The sequence below is a fragment of the Homo sapiens genome, chromosome 12 (assembly GCF_000001405.40).
Source record: "Homo sapiens chromosome 12, GRCh38.p14 Primary Assembly".
In the NCBI taxonomy this organism is placed as follows: Eukaryota; Metazoa; Chordata; class Mammalia; order Primates; family Hominidae; genus Homo; species Homo sapiens.
Genome location: NC_000012.12, coordinates 7,824,962 through 7,841,025, shown reverse-complemented (window position 1 = coordinate 7,841,025; position 16,064 = coordinate 7,824,962). Strand labels below are relative to the sequence as shown.

General features: G+C 45.3%; 1 protein-coding gene across 6 annotated transcripts in view, besides 3 other annotated features; it reads left to right on the top strand.

Annotated features, from left to right (window-relative positions):
* Positions 1–16,064, top strand: part of SLC2A14 (solute carrier family 2 member 14) — a 78,683-nt gene that overhangs the window by 50,171 nt on the left and 12,448 nt on the right. For 5 of the 6 annotated variants that reach the window (NM_001286237.2, NM_153449.4, NM_001286234.2 and 2 more), the window contains 5 exons: positions 8,212–8,304; positions 9,262–9,422; positions 11,020–11,260; positions 12,160–12,322; positions 13,344–13,531. In NM_001286237.2, coding sequence (NP_001273166.1) covers positions 8,212–8,304; positions 9,262–9,422; positions 11,020–11,260; positions 12,160–12,322; positions 13,344–13,531 — 846 coding nt within the window. The remainder of the gene's footprint in view (positions 1–8,211; positions 8,305–9,261; positions 9,423–11,019; positions 11,261–12,159; positions 12,323–13,343; positions 13,532–16,064) is intronic. The other variant, NM_001286236.2, reaches the window with a different exon arrangement.
* Positions 1,026–1,699: an enhancer, noted in NCBI's record as "H3K27ac-H3K4me1 hESC enhancer chr12:7991923-7992596 (GRCh37/hg19 assembly coordinates)". NCBI's record gives its function as "activates a minimal SCP1, AML or CMV promoter by ChIP-STARR-seq in primed H9 embryonic stem cells {active_cell/tissue: H9 hESC(primed)}" and the evidence as "EXISTENCE:reporter gene assay evidence [ECO:0000049][PMID:30033119]".
* Positions 6,837–7,337: an enhancer, noted in NCBI's record as "H3K4me1 hESC enhancer chr12:7986285-7986785 (GRCh37/hg19 assembly coordinates)". NCBI's record gives its function as "activates a minimal SCP1, AML or CMV promoter by ChIP-STARR-seq in primed H9 embryonic stem cells {active_cell/tissue: H9 hESC(primed)}" and the evidence as "EXISTENCE:reporter gene assay evidence [ECO:0000049][PMID:30033119]".
* Positions 14,165–14,701: an enhancer, noted in NCBI's record as "H3K27ac-H3K4me1 hESC enhancer chr12:7978921-7979457 (GRCh37/hg19 assembly coordinates)". NCBI's record gives its function as "activates a minimal SCP1, AML or CMV promoter by ChIP-STARR-seq in naive H9 embryonic stem cells {active_cell/tissue: H9 hESC(naive)}" and the evidence as "EXISTENCE:reporter gene assay evidence [ECO:0000049][PMID:30033119]".

Here is a 16,064-nt window from a genome sequence, read left to right as displayed (position 1 = left end):
GTTCCCGGCCTCTGGGATGAAAGAGAAAGGGAACACTATTTTTAGTGCATTACCCTAGCATCATCGCCGACTTAGCGCATCTAAAATAAAAGTCTTGATTTGACCCTCAGGTCTCTGTCTGCTTTCCTGACTGAGGTAAATGGCAACTCCAGTTCTCCAGTTGCTCCAGCCAAAACCTTTAGGATCATTCTTGACTCCTTTTTTTCTTTTGTGCTCAACGTCTAGACCGCCAGTAGGTTGCACCTTGAAAATATATTTCAAATCCAACAGCAACCCACTCTATGCTCCTATCCCTACCCTCTGTCTAAGTTTGTTCATGCTGCTATAACAAAACAACACAGGCAAGGCGCAGTGCCTCACGCCCGTAATCCCAGCACCTTGGGAGGCCCAGGTGGGCGGATCACCTGAGGTTAGGAGTTTGAGACCAGCCTGACCAACATGGTGAAACCCTGTCTCTACTAAAAATACAAAAATTAGCTGGGTGTGGGTGTGGTGGCGGGTGCCTGTAGTCCCAGCTACTCTGGAGGCTGAGGCAGGAGAATCGCTTGAACCCAGGAGGCGGAGGTTGCAGTGAGCCGAAATCACGCCATTGCACTCCAGACTAGGCGACAAGAGCGAAATTCTGTCTCAAAAAAACAAAAACAAAAACAAAAACAAAACTGAGTAATCTATAAACAGTAGAAATGTATTTCTCACAGTTCTGAATGCTGGGAAGTTCAAGGTACCCGCAGGTTTGATGTTTGGTGAGGGCAGCTCTCTGCTTCTAAGATGGCGACTGTTGCTCCGTCCTCATTAGGGGGACGAGTGATGTGTCCTCACATGGTGGAAGGCAGAAGGGCAAAAAAAAAAAAAAAAAAAAAAAAAAGGAGCAAACTCTCTGAAGTCCCCCCACCGCACTTTTTTTTTTTTTTTTTGAGACAGGGTCTGGCTCTGTCTCCCAGGCTGGAGTTCAGTGGTGCAATCATAGCTCACTGCAGGCTTGACCTCCCGGGCTCAAGTGATCCTCCCACCTCAGCCACCCGAGTAGCTGGGACTACAAGTGCAAACCACCATGCCTCACTAATTTTTTGTATTTTTTTTTTTTTTTTTTTTTTTTTTTTTGTAGAGACAGGGTCTCCTTGTGTCGCCCAGGCTGGTCCAAAAGGGGGAAATAAGAACTCCTGGACTCAAGCGATCCTCCCGCCTTGACCTCCAAAAGTGCTGAGATTACAGGCATGAGCCATCGAGCCTGGCCTCCGAAGCCCCTTCTGTATGGGTATTACTCCCTCCATGGAGGCAGAGCCCTCATGACTCAGTCACTTCCCAAAAGGTCCTGCCTCTTAATATCACTACAATTAGGATTAAGTTTCTGCATTAATTTTGGAGGGAACACACATTTAAACCACAGCACCCTCCTTCAGCATCTTCTCCATTCAACAGCACATACTTTTTTAAAAACACGAATCAACTGATGTCATGCTTCTGCTCAAAAAACTAAAATGGCTTCGTAGCTTCCTGGCTGTCTGTCACATTCGGAATATAAACCAGAACGTTCATGACTGCTTACAGCGTCCTGCATGAGCAGACTCCTAGCTGTCTTCAACATCATTTCTCCTGCCACTCTGCCCCCGCTTCACTCCACTCCTGCCAAATCCGCCTTTTGACACCCTGCCAAGCACGAGTCCTCCTTTTGGTGTCTGCGTTTGAAATGCCTTCTGTTTGAAATGCTGTTTTCAGATACTCCCAAGGTTGACTTTCTCGTGTGATTCAGGTTTCTGTGCAAGTATCATCTCTACTGAGAGAGGAACCCTAACCACTCTATCTTAATCTTCCCCAGCCCCAACCCTTTATCGCCTTACCTTGATATTTTCTTCTTCAAAATGCTCCCTTATTACTTGACAGTATATATTTATTGTCTGCTAAGGCTGCCATAACAAAATACCACAAACAGGTGGCTTAAACAACAGGAATTTGTTTTCTCAAAGTTCTAGATGCTGGACATCCAAGATCAAGGTGCCAGCAGGCTTAGTTTCTCCTGAGACCTCTCCCTTCAGTAGCAGATGGCTGTCTTCTCAGTGTCTTCACATGGCCTTTTCTCTATTCACAGGCCTAATGCCTCTTCCTCTTCTCATAAGGACACCTGTCCTATTGGACTAGAGCCCCACCCTAGTGACTTCATGTAATCTTAATTACCTCCTTAAAGGCTCCATCTCCAAATACAGTTCCATTCTAAGTTACTAGGGGTTAGGGCTTCAACATATGAATTTTAGGACACAATTTAGTCCATAACACTTTGCCCTCTGGCCCCCCAAAATGTATGTCCTCACATCCAAAATACATTTATCTCTATCCCTGTAGGCCCTAAAGTCTTAACCCATTCCAGCATGAGTTCCAAATCCAAAATTTCATCTGAATATCATCTAAATTTGGTATGGGTGAGAAAAGAGGTATGATTAATCCTGAGGCAAATTTTTTTCCAAACTGAGCCTGGGAAACCAGACAAGTTATGTGCTTTCATAATATAATTGTGGGACAGGCATAGGCTAGACATTCCCATTGCAAAAGGGGGAAATGGGGGAAATAAGAAAGAAGAAAGGGGTACCTGGTCTTCCAAGTTCAAAATTCTAGTAAGGCAAATTCCATTTTTTAAAAAAAATTGTGGACCGGGCACGTTGGCTCACACCTGTAATCCCAGCACTTTGGGAGGCCGAGGCAGGTGGATCGCAAGGTCAGGAGTTCAAGACCAGCCTGGCCAATATGGTGAAACCCTGTCTCTACTAAAAATGCAGAAATTAACCAGGCATGGTGGCAGGCGCCTGTAGTCCCAGCTACTCTGGAGGCTGAGGCAGGAGAATCACTTGAACGTGGGAGGTGGAGGTTGCAGTAAGCCAAGATCTCGGCACTGCACTCCTGCATGGGTGACAGAGCGAGATTCTGTCTCGAAAAAAAAAAATTGTGGTAAAAACACATAACAACAACAAAAAAGGTAGGCTGGGCATGGTGGCTCACACCTATAATCCCAGCACTTTGGGAGGCCGAGGTGGGTGGATCATCTGAGGTCAGGAATTCAAGACCAGACTGACCAATATGGTAAAACCCCACCTCTACTAAAAACACAACAATTAACCAGGCGTGGTGGCGTGCACCTGTAGTCCCAGCTATTTGGGAGGCTGAGACAGGAGAATTGCTTGAACGCAGGAGGTGGAGGTTGCAGTGAGCCAAGACTGTGCTACTGCACTCTAGCCTGGACAACAGAGTGAGACTCCATCTCGAAAAAAATAAAAATAAAAAATTAGCCAGTCGTGGTGGTGTATGCCAGTAATCCCAGCCAGAGTGAGACTTCATCTCAAAAAAAAAAAAAGAAGAAAAATGGTTACCATGTGAACCATCTTTTTTTTTTTTTTTTTTGAGACGAAGTTTCACTCTTGTTGCCCAAGTTGGAGTGCAATGGTGCAAGCTCGGCTGACTGCAACCTCCGCCCCCAGGTTCAAGAGATTCTCTTGCCTCAGCCTCCAAAGTAGCTGGGATTACAGGCTTGCGCCACTATGGCTGGCTAGTTTTGTATTTTTAGTAGAGATGTTGTTTCTCCATGTTGGTCAGGCTGGTCTTGAACTCCCAACTTCAGGTGATCCTCCTGCCTTGGCCTCCCAAAGATTACAAGTGTGAGCCACTGCGCCTGGCCCATGTTAACCATCTTTTATTACTTTATCTTACATTTATTTTATTACAGTTTTTAAAATATCTTTTCAGCTTCACTGAAGTATAATTGACAAATAAAATTGTATACATTTAAAGTATGTGCACATGATGTTTTGATATACATGTATATTGTGAAATTATTACCACAAGTTAGTTAACACGTTAACTTTTTTTTTTTTTTGAGATGGAGTCTCACTCTGTCACCCAGGGTGGAGTGCAGTGGCGTGATTTTGGCTCACTGTAACCTCTGCCTCCCAGGTTCAAGCGATTCTCTTGCCTCAGCCTCCCGAATAGCTGGGATTACAGGCATGTGCCACCATGCTCGGATAATTTTTGTATTTTTATTAGAGATGGGGTTTCACTATATTGGCCCGGCTGGTCTTGAACTCCTGATCTTGTGATCCACCTGCCTCAGCCTCCTAAAATGCTGGGATTATAGGCATGAGCCACGGTGCCTGGCCAATATGTTTCTTTTTATTTTTTTAATGTGGCTACTGAAATTTTCTTTTTTTTGTAAAATTGAACACTTGGTCACCCAGGCTGGTGTGCAGTGGCATGATCTAGGCTCACTGTAATGTCCGCCTCCCGGGTTCAAGTGATTCTGGTGCCTCAGGCTCCCAAATAGCTGGGATTACAGGCGTGTGCCACCACGCCTGGCTAATTTTTTTGTGTCTTTAGTAGAGATGGGGATTGGTGATATTGGCCAGGCTGGTATTGAATTCCTGAACTGAAGTGATCCATCCGCCCTCCTCAGCCTCCCAAAGTGCTGGGCTTACAGGTGTGAGCCACCATACCCAGCAGAAAAATTTTTAATTACATCTGTGGTTGGGCTGGGCTCAGTGGCTCACGCCTGTAATCCCAGCAGTTTGGGAGGCCGAGACAGGCAGATCACAAGGTCAGGAGTTCGAGACCAGCCTGGCTAACATGATGAAACCCTGTCTCTACTAAAAATACAAAAAATTAGCTGGGCGTGGTGGCACACGCTTGTAGTCCCAGCTACTCAGGAGGCTGAGGCAGGAGAACTGCTTGAACCGGGGAGGCAGAGGTTGCAGTGAGCTGAGATCATGCCACTGCACACCAGCCTGGGTGACCAAGTGAGACTGCGTCTCAAAAAAAAAAAAAAAGTTATATCTGTGGCTCACATTATATTTGTATTGGACAGTACTGGCCAGGCTTTATTCAATAATCATTGAAGATATTTGAGTAGGACTCTGACACGATTCAAATTTTGATTTAGGATAATTCACCTAGCCCTGATGTGGAACGGATTCATTTTTGAAGAAGGGAGAGGAAAGAGGAAGGAAGACCTTCGTGAAAGTGGGACAGGCCTGAGAGCTGGGATTAGGCCCTTCAGGATCAACGGGAGTGATGGATGGATGATTTAAACCCAGTTTAGACAGGAAAATCAACATTTCTCAAATGTTTTCTTTCTTAATCCTGAGGACTTATTTTCTACAGTGTTATCAAATTCAAAGTGAACTCTGCCTACACTAACCTAACAAAGGAAGATTAAAAAGTTGCTTTAACAAAAGTCGTTCTTTATGAGGACTATTACAGATGCAAGCAAAGTTTTAGAGCAGTTACTAGCTTTTTGTGTGTGTCTTGAAATGCCATTTACATTGTTTTATGAAAGAGACAGTTTTCCCTGTCTTTACCTCAATGCGTTTAAAGGCTTGTGTTCCCTGACTTTAGATTTTATGTTTGTTTTCCACCTGGTTATCATACTAGCAAGCACCCATCCCACAAAGCTGCATGAAACTAGGATTGAGATTTACATTCTGCAGATTTAGATTCTAGGATTGAGATTTACATTCTGCAGATTTAGATTCTAGAATTGAAATTTACATTCTGCAGATAACTGCATCTGGAACTAAGCGACCTCAGACAATTATTCTATTCATTCCTTTTTTTCTAGGCAGACCTACATTAAAGTATTAGGTGTAAATTTTGTTTGTTTGTTTGTTTGAGACAGTCTCGCTGGCACCCAGGCTGGAGTGCAGTGACGCAATCTCGGCTGACTGCAACCTCTGCCTCCCAGTTTCAAGCAATTCTCCTGTCTCAGTCTCCTGAGTAGCTGGGACTACAGGCGCACGCCATCACGGCTGGCTAATTTTTGTATTTTTAGTAGAGACGGGCTTTCACCATACTGGTCAGGCTGTAGGTGTAAATTTTATAACATTCTCACTAACTTACTCTGTTTTGAAATTTACCCATCGCACCTCACATTTCCTCTTTTTTTTTTTTTTTAATAGAGCTACAGAAAGATTTCAAAAGGAATCAAATGACACAGCATAGGTGTCTGAGGGCAGCTAGCCTCACTGGCCCATCCTGACATACTTAATCCCTCATGCCTCATCACCAGAGCTGTGACTGTGACTGAGCCAGGCTCCTCCCAAAGTACACTGAAGACCCAGCTCAACCAACCAGTCTCTCGAAGCACATCAACAAACAGTTATATTGAGCAACTCTTCTCTAGTGGCCAGGGTGAAGGACTATCTAAGCTTGGACATCTCTGTTGCTTTGGGGGCCAGCCCAGTGCAGAACTGGTTTTTGAGCATCAGGTTCCTCCTAGGTGCCATTTGCCCAAGGAACACTTGTCTCAATATGCTCAACACACTTTTTTTTTCTTTTTTGAGGCAGGGTCTCACTCTGTTGCCCAGGCTGCATAGCTCACTGCAGCTTCTATCTCCTGGGCTCAAGTGATCCTCCCACCCCAGCCTCCCAAGTAGCTGGGTCTATAGGCACCTGCCATTACCATACCCAGCTAATTTTTTTTTTTTTTTTGATAGAGAAGGGGTCTCAAAAAAAAAAAAAAAAGAGAGAGAGAAGGGGTCTCACTGTGTTGTCCAGGCTGGTCTCTCAAACTGCTAGGCTCAAGTGATCCTTCTGCCTCGACCTCCCAAAGGGCTGGGATTATAGATGTGAGCCACTGTGCCCAGGTCAACACATTTTTTAGATTCTCAAGACTCAGTTTAATTCCAATTGTAACCTTTAAAAATAATCCCAGCATTTGGGAGCTAAGGCATGAGGATCACTTGAGGCTGGGAGTTTGAGACCAGCCTTGGGCAATACAGTGAGATCCCATCTCTACAAAAAAGAAAGAAAATGAAGGAAAATAAGAGAAGGGATGGAAAGTTATGAGACTAATGAAAAAAAAAAGGCTCTCAAAGATAGTGAATGATGAGAGGAGAAAGAAAGGACTTTTACTAAAAAGAAAAAGATTTAACAGAGAGCATTGTACTGGCAGGGCCCTCCAGGGTATCGATGCTTAGTTGTGACTGAGACATCTGAGAGGCCGCAGGCAAGGTCAGTTCTACTGAAGCTTTCAGCCTGTGGTCTACCCTGTCTGACCTGAAAGGAAAGGAATTTAAGATAGGAAAGGTTGAAGGGATTGGTGGGGGTGCGGGAAAGGACATAGAAGATGGCTTCAGGTATAGAAATTGAGCTGCCCCAAGGTGGAAATCTAAAATAATATCCACTTGCCCAGCTGAATTATTCCAGGCAAGGTGAAGACGACTGGTTCTCCCCACTAAGAAATGTCTCTCTCTCTCTTTTTTTTTTTTTTTGAGACAGAGTCTTGCTCTGTTGCCCAGGTTGGAGTGCAGTGGCACGGTCTCGGCTCACTGCAACCTCCGCCTCTCAGGGTCAAGCGATCCTCCTGCTTCAGCCCCTCCTAGTAGCTGGGATTACAGGCACACCCCACCATGCCCTGCTAATTTTTGTATTTTTAGTAGAGATGGGGTTTCACCATGTTGGCCAGGCTGGTCTCGAACTCCTGATCTCAGGTGATCCACCTGCCTTGGCCCACCTGCCTTGGCCTCCCAAAGTGCTGGGATGACAGGCATGAGCCACCGTGCCCGGCCAGAAATGTCTTATTTGTTAGGTTTGTAGTGAGCCGAGTGTTCTTTCTTCCCCCACCCGGGGGTTAGGTTAGGGATAGCAGAACAGTATTTAATAAACCAGAAGACTGAAATGGGGCCAGGATGCAGTGAGTAGATCCAGTAGGTTACATGGTCCTGAGAGATAAGAGACTCAAAGAGCCACCCAGCAGTGAAGACACAAACTACTACCACCTCCCCCTACCACCACCACTGGGCTTCCGTGGAGTCTGGGGTACAGATCAGACTGCACTGTATTTGTTTCCAAAATGATCAATTCTTAGTAATCCTACCCAAGGCTGTGTTGTCCTCTTTCCTCCCAGTTCGTGAGTGGAATTCTATGCCTACCTTCACCTGATGCAGGTTTTTAAATATTTCCAAACTGACCAACCCAGTTTCTCTTAACTTCTTCCTTCTCCAATTTTCTTTTCCACTTTTACCAAGTTAACTTCACATTCTTATCTCCAGATAAGTTCTTTAGTATAATCTATTACTTTGTCTTCCCGATTAATTACCTAAATCTCGTTTGATGTTTGTCCTTTTCATACCACTCATAGGTCAGATTCTCCTAATACAGCTCCATAATTAATAAGAAACAGTCATCAATTACAAGTTTTAAGGACTATTCTCTCCTCCCTGTCCTCTGTCTCTCCAGGTCACCCCAGCTCTGATCTTTGCCATCACAGTTGCTACAATCGGCTCTTTCCAGTTTGGCTACAACACTGGGGTCATCAATGCTCCTGAGACGGTGAGTGCCAGGCCACAAGAATTAGAATCTGGAATAGGGAAATTATTCCTTTAAGTAGGGTTTCAAGAATTCAGAATTTAAGGCCAGGCATGGTGGCACCTGCCTGGAGTCCCAGCTACTCCGGAGGCTGAGGCTTAAAGATCACTTGAGCCCAGGAGTTAAACACCATCCTGAGCAACACAGTTAGTGAGGGTCCCTCCCCCAACTAGGGGAATTAAACTTTGTATCTATCCTGTCCAAGACTGAAGATGGAGACAATATTGGTGGGGAAAATTAGTGGGGTCATTTAATCAAAGGAAAAAGGTCATTTACTCCTTATACCCTGGGCAGTGCTGTTCTTCCTCCCACTCTTTCACCCTATAGTAATACACTTCCTGTATTATCCCTTAGGGGTTAGTTACCAAGCTGGCCAGGTTCGCTTAGCAGAGGGCTGGGGTGAACATCAGTGCTGCCACCTACTGGGATATTCAGGACAAATGAAAAATTACTATTCCAGGGAGAGTTAACATTAATTCCAATATGTTATCTGCCTCTTCAATTCCCGTCTATTTATTCCCTTGATTCTCTAGGGAGGAAATGATCCCTAATATTTGTTTTGTTTGTTTGTTTGTTTTGAGATGTAGTCTCGCTCTGTCACCCAGGCCGGAGTGCAATGGCGCTATCTCGGCTCATCGCAAACTCCGCCCCACGGGTTCAAGCGATTCTCCTACCTCAGCCTCCCGAGTAGCTGGGATTACAGGCATGCGCCACCACAACTGGCTAATTTTGTATTTTTAGTAGAGACGGGGTTTCACCATGTTGGTCAGGTTGGTCTGCAACTCCTGACCTCAGGTGATCCACCCGCCTCGGCCTTCCAAAGTGCTGGGATTACAGGCGTGAGCCACTGCACCCAGCATATTTGTATCTTTTGTTCTCATCCAACTGTAATAGTCTGTCCTCCCACCTTTTATTTTGCAGATCATAAAGGAATTTATCAATAAAACTTTGACGGACAAGGCAAATGCCCCTCCCTCTGAGGTGCTGCTCACGAATCTCTGGTCCTTGTCTGTGGCCATATTTTCCGTCGGGGGTATGATCGGCTCCTTTTCCGTCGGACTCTTTGTTAACCGCTTTGGCAGGTATTGACTAGAAACTGGGCAAGGAAGTGGGCTCTACCAGATGCATTGGGGACAAGTGTGGAGAGTTAGGGCAGGGAGGTGATGATGCCTTTGAATAAGAACACCTTGAATTCTAATCAAGGGAAACTAGCCCAACTGGCCCCGAATATGACTGCCCTTGCTTGGAGCTCTACTACCCTGGAGAGCTCCCACCCAGCTGTGCAAGAGATGAACTGTGTGAGTGATTGGCCTTTGCAGTCCAGTTAGGGATAGTTCAGAATTATTCCCTAGTAAGCTCAACTATGGGGTTTCCAGGAACATACTTAATTTACAAGGTCCAAAGTTGATTACTTTTCTCAAAAAAAAAAAAAACAAAACTGGGGTCTCATATAAATGTTTTTGTTACCTCTACACAGGATTGGTAGGAATTATCTTTAGTCTATGGCAAATGTGGATAATGGCCAAAAAAAGAAAACTGAATCGTCTTTTTTTTTTTTTTTGAGATGGAGTCTTGCTCTTGTCACCTAGGCTGGAGTGCAATGGTGCAATCTCAGCTCACTGCAACCTCTGCCTCCCGGGTTCAAGTAATTATCCTGCCTCAGCCTCCCAAGTAGCTGGGATTACAGGTGCCCGCCACCACGCTCGGCTAATTTTTGTATTTTTAGTAGAGATGGGGTTTCACCATATTGGCCATGCTAGTCTCGAACTCCTGACCTTACGTGATCCGCCCACCTCAGCCTCCTAAAGTGCTAAGCTTACAGGCATGAGCCACTGTGCCTGGCTGAAAACTGAATCTTCTTATTTTATACTAGCTTAGTAATCTATTTTAGAAGGTAGAATATATTTTCAGTTATGACTGACAAAGGAACTGTTTTAATTTGCCAATTAGATATTCTAGAAATGCAAGAATGTAATTCACATTTAAAAATTGATAAGGCAACCTATTTTACTTGCTAATGTTCTTCCCCCTCTGCCCTCCCTCTGCCCAAGAAGCAGGGTCTTGCTCTGTCACCCAGGCTGGAGTGCAGTGGCCCAATCATAGCTCACTATAGCCTCGACCTCCCAGTCTCAAGCAATCCTCACACCTCAGCTCCCTGAGTAGCTGGGACTACCAGTGGGCACCATCATGCCTGGCTCCCAACTAGAAACGTTCTGATAATAGAAAGTAAAAAAGGGCTGGGCGTGGTGGCTCACACCTGCAATCCCAACACTTTGGGAGGCCGAGGTGGGTGGATCATGAGGTCAGGAGTTAAAGACCAGCCTGGTCAAGATGGTGAAACCCCATCTCTACTAAAATACAAAAAAATTAGCCAGGCATGGTGGCAGGCGCCTGTTATCCCAGCTACTCGGGAGTATGAGGCAGAGAATTGCTTGAACCTGGGAGTCAGAGGTTGCAGTGAGCGGAGATCGCGCCACTGCACTCCAGCCTGGGCAACAGAGCGAGACTCTGTCTCAAAAAAAAAAAAAGAAAGAAAAGAAAAGAAAGTGAAAAAGAAAAGTTAGACCAAAAAAGGAGTTGATATAAGCCTGGAGAAGAGCAGAATAATGAGTACAGAAGAGGAGAAGTTAGGAGCCTCTCACTTTGCTAATTCCATGTTGTCTTTGATTAACCTTACAGGCGCAATTCAATGCTGATTGTCAACCTGTTGGCTGCCACTGGTGGCTGCCTTATGGGACTGTGTAAAATAGCTGAGTCAGTTGAAATGCTGATCCTGGGCCGCTTGGTTATTGGCCTCTTCTGCGGACTCTGCACAGGTTTTGTGCCCATGTACATTGGAGAGATCTCGCCTACTGCCCTGAGGGGTGCCTTTGGCACTCTCAACCAGCTGGGCATAGTTATTGGAATTCTGGTGGCCCAGGTACTCTAGAACTTCTCATACTTAATGAGTGTTAGTTTCATGGGTCATTAAAAAAGTTAACATAGGTAAAGCACTGAAGAATATCTGGCACATGTTCAATTACATATGGAAGTTTTAGATAATAGATAGTAGCTGAAGAAGCAGGTTGAGTAGAGAAAGGAAAAGAAGCACAATTTCTTTTTTCCTTTTTTCTTTTTCTTTTTTTTTTTTTGAGAGGGAGTTTCACTCTGTCACCCAGGCTGGAGTGCAGTGGAATGATCTCGGCCCAACCTCTGCCTCCTGGGTTAAAGTGATTCTCATGCCTCAGCCTCCCGAGTAGCTGGGATTACAGGTGTGCACCACCACGTCCAGCTAATTTTTGTATTTTTAGTAGAGACAGGATTTCACCATGTTGGCCAGGCTTTTCTCAAACTCCTGACCTCAGGTGATCCACCCGCCTCGGCCTCCCAAAATTCTGGGTTATAGGTGTGAGCCACTGTGCCCGGCAATTTTTAAATTTTTTTCAATGGTAAAATAATGTATGATTTTCTGAACTTTTGTTTTGTTTTGTTTCTGAGACGGAGTCTCACTCTGTCGCCCAGTCTGGAGGGCAGTGGCGCGATCTCGGCTCACTGCAACCTCCGCCTCCTGGGTTCAAGTAATTCTCTGCCTCAGCCTCCTGAGTAGCTGGGATTGCAGGTGCCCACCATCACGCCTGGCTAATTTTTGTATTTTTAGTAGAGACGGGGTTTCACCATCTTGGCCAGGCTGGTCTTCAACTCCTGATCCACCTGCCTCAGCCTTCCAAAGTGCTGGAATTACAGGCGTAAGCTACTGCGCCCAGCCAACTTTTTGTGTTTCAATGAACTTGTGGCCTGTGAAGTATGGGGTTTATAGCATTATCTTTGTGTGGTTTCTAGATCTTTGGTCTGGAACTCATCCTTGGGTCTGAAGAGCTATGGCCGGTGCTATTAGGCTTTACCATCCTTCCAGCTATCCTGCAAAGTGCAGCCCTTCCATGTTGCCCTGAAAGTCCCAGATTTTTGCTCATTAACAGAAAAAAAGAGGAGAATGCTACGCGGAGTGAGTATCTTTCACTCTTTAGTATACAAAGTATATGGTTGTGGTTTGTTTTAAGGGTGAGGGTACTGGATCTATTTTCTGTCGTACCCTTTCCCTGCCCGTCAGAATCCAAGTGAAGATGGTTCTGATTACTCTACTTTGTTTTTTCTTTTTTTGAGACAGAATCTCATGCTGTTGCCCATGCTGGAGTGCAGTGGTGCGATCTCGGTTCACTGCAACCTCCGCCTCCTGGGTTCTAAGCGATTCTCCTGCATCAGCCTCCGGAGTAGGTGGGATTATAGGCATGTGCCACCACCACCACACCACGCCTGGCTACTTTTGTACTTTTTTTTTTTTTTTGAGACAGAGTCTTGCTCTGTTGCCCAGGCTGTAGTGCAGTGGCGCAATCTCGGTTCACTGCAACCTCTGCCTCCCAGGTTCAAGTGATTCTCCTGCCTTAGCCTCCCGAGTAGCTGGGACTACAGGTGCGCGCGACACCACGCCAGCTAATGTTTTTGTGTTTTTATTAGAGATGGAGTTTCACCATGTTGACCAGGCTGGTCTCAAACTCCTGACCTTGTGATTCGCCTGCCTTGGCCTCCCAAAGTGATGGGATTACAGGTGTGAGCCACCGCGCCCAACCCATCTAATTTGTATTTTTTTTTTAAGTGAAAGCAAGTTTATTAAGAAAGTAAAGGAATAAAAGAATGGCTACTCGATAGACAAAGCAGCGACTAATTTGTATTTTTATTAGAGATGGGCTTTCACCATGTTGGCCAGGCTGGTCTCAAACTCACCTCAGGTGATCCACAAGCCTCGGCCTCACAAAATGCTGGGATTACAGGCACGAGCCACCGCACTGGGCTCTGATTACTCTTGAGTAAAATTTTCAGCCCCTAAAGAATGAGGTGAGAGGGCAGGTTCAGGAATGGATGCTACCCATCACCTCACCTCGTGCGGCCCTTTCCTGGCTGCCTTACAGGAAGAATGAATTTGGGGCAGCACATTCTCTTTATCCTTTCCTCTTTCTTCTTTTCACCAGTCCTCCAGCGGTTGTGGGGCACCCAGGATGTATCCCAAGACATCCAGGAGATGAAAGATGAGAGTGCAAGGATGTCACAAGAAAAGCAAGTCACCGTGCTGGAGCTCTTTAGAGTGTCCAGCTACCGACAGCCCATCATCATTTCCATTGTGCTCCAGCTCTCTCAGCAGCTCTCTGGGATCAATGCTGTGAGTGTGATACTTTAGGGTCAAACGTGTCTTACAATATTTCACTTAAAATGCCAGGCATGGTGGCGGTGTGCCTCTGTAGTCCCAGCTACTCAGGAGGCTGAGGCAGGAGAATCGCTTGAACCCGGGAGGCGAAGGTTGCAGTGAGCTGAGATTGCGCCATTGCACTCTAGCCTGGGTGACAGAGTGAGAAACTTCGTCTAAAAAAAAAAAAAAAAAAAAAAGACAAAAATTAGCTGGACGTGGTGGTGCGCTACTCAGGAGGCTGAGGCCGGAGAATTTCTTGGATCTGGGAGGCGGAGGTTGCAGTGAGTGGAGATTGCGCCATTGCACTCCAGCCGGAGCAACCAGGGCAGAACTCCTTATAGAAAGAAATAAAAAGAAAGAAAGAAAGAAAGAGAAAGAAAGAAAGAAAGAAAGAGAGAGAGAGAAAGAAAGAGAGAGAGAGAAAGGAGAGAAAGAGAGAGAAAGGAGAGAAAGAGAGAGAGAGAAAGGAGAGAAAGAGAGAAAGGAGAGAAAGAGAGAGAGAAAGAGAGAGAAGAAAGGAAAGAAAGGAAAGGAAAGGAAAGAAAAAGGAAAAAGAAAGAAAGAAAGAAAGAAAGAAAGAAAGAAAGAAAGAAAGAAAGAAAGAAAAAAGAAAGGAAGGAAGGAAGGAAGGAAAGAAAGAAAGAAAGAAAAAAGAGCGAGCCTGGAAGTACACTGGCAACTTCAGACTGAGCTGACTTTACCAGTCTCTATGTTTTTACAAGTAGAATAGGGAGCATGATAGTTTAAAGAGGGCGGCAAAACAGAAGCTAGCATTTGACAGGTAACCCTTGTATTCCATGCAAATATCAGCTTCCTGCTATTGAGTGTGGATTGTGGGAAGAGAGTACTCCTGTGCCTTCTAGTCAATTGTGGATAAAATACGGATATGAAGAGCACCCTTGTACTTCATCCCCTGAGGGTTTTCCATTAGTCTTTGATCAATGGGATTAAATCATTTTGTAACAAAGCATTTTGCAAAACTTAGTATTTTGAGCATTTTAATACTAAGTTGGTTCTTGGCCTTTTCTCCTACCTAACACACCAGATATTTGTATTTGAAGTGGCAGTGCTTCTTGTGAGGGGTTAGAAGCTGTTTTATCAGAATGTACAAGGAGCCAGGTGTGGTGGCTGCTCATGCCTGTAGTCCCAGTTACTACTCAGAGGTTGAGGTGGGAATATCACTTAAGCCAAGGAGTCAAGCCTGGGCAATATAGCATGACCCTGTCTTAAAAAAAAAAAAAACTTGGGAGGAAATACACAGTAGTTAGAAAAAGCCTCCTAGGTGATTTTGATGAATCCCAGTCTCAAATTTCCTCATTTGGAAATGATAATGTAGGCCACACGTATTACTGGAGAAAAATGTGCTCCCGAGACTTTCCAGAGCAGCAGAGCTGGGACTAGGCAGGTGAGGCAGCTACGTGCAAGTGTAGCCCTGAGAATGAGCACCTCTTTAAAGAATGTACCTTGCGTTAGTTCTGTGCCTGTTTAAAAAAAAAAAGAAAGAATAAAAGAATGCACCTGAGGCAACTCCCTAGCTGCCTCACCACAGTCTGGGCCCTGCAAAACAGGGTCAGAAAAAAATCACCTGTGGGAAATTACAGATGATCCATGAGCATTCTGAGGAACAGACTCCTCCCACTTCAGAGTGGTATGTGCATACTTTCTTTCTTTCTTTTCTTTTCTTTCTTTTTTTTTTTTTTTGTGAGACAGAGGAGTCTCACTTTGTCACCCAGGCTAGAGTGCAGTGATGCAATCTTGGCTCACTGCAACCTCTGCCTCCGGGTTCAAGCGATTCTTCTGCCTCAGCCTCCCAAGTAGCTGGGACTACAGGCACGTGCCACCATGCCCAGCTAATTTTTTGCATTTTTAGTAGAGATTGGGTTTCTGTGTGTTAGCCAAGATAGTCTCAATCTCCTGACTTTGTGATCTGCCCGCCTCGGCCTCCCAAAGTGCTGGGATTACAGGCATGAGCCACCGCGCCTGGCTTGCTCTTTCTTTTTTTTTTTTTGAGAGGTAGTCTTGCTCTGTCGCCCAGGCTAGAGTGCAGTAGCGCAATATCAGCTCATAGCAACCTCTACCTCCTGGGTTCAAGTGATTCTCCTGCCTCAGCCTCCCAAGTAGCTGGAATTACAGGCGGCCGACACCACACACAGCTAATTTTGTATTTTTAGTAGAGACGGGCTTTCACCATGTTGACCAGTCTGGTCTTGAACTCCTGGCTTCAAGTGATCCACCCGCCTCGGCCTCCCAAAGTGCTAGGATTACAGGCATGAGCCACCATGCCCAGCCTATACCTTAATTATTGTTGGACTAAAGTGGCTCCCAATTTAGTCAATGAGCAGATTTTGCTCCACATATAATCATCACCCAAAGTTAGCTGCACCGGAATTATGGGGGATGGGATTCCTGAGTCAGCTGAATCCAGAGTCTCCGTGTAAGAGGGCTGGAAATTGCCTGTAAAAAAATAAATCTGGGCCGGGGACAGTGGCTCATGCCTCTAATCCCA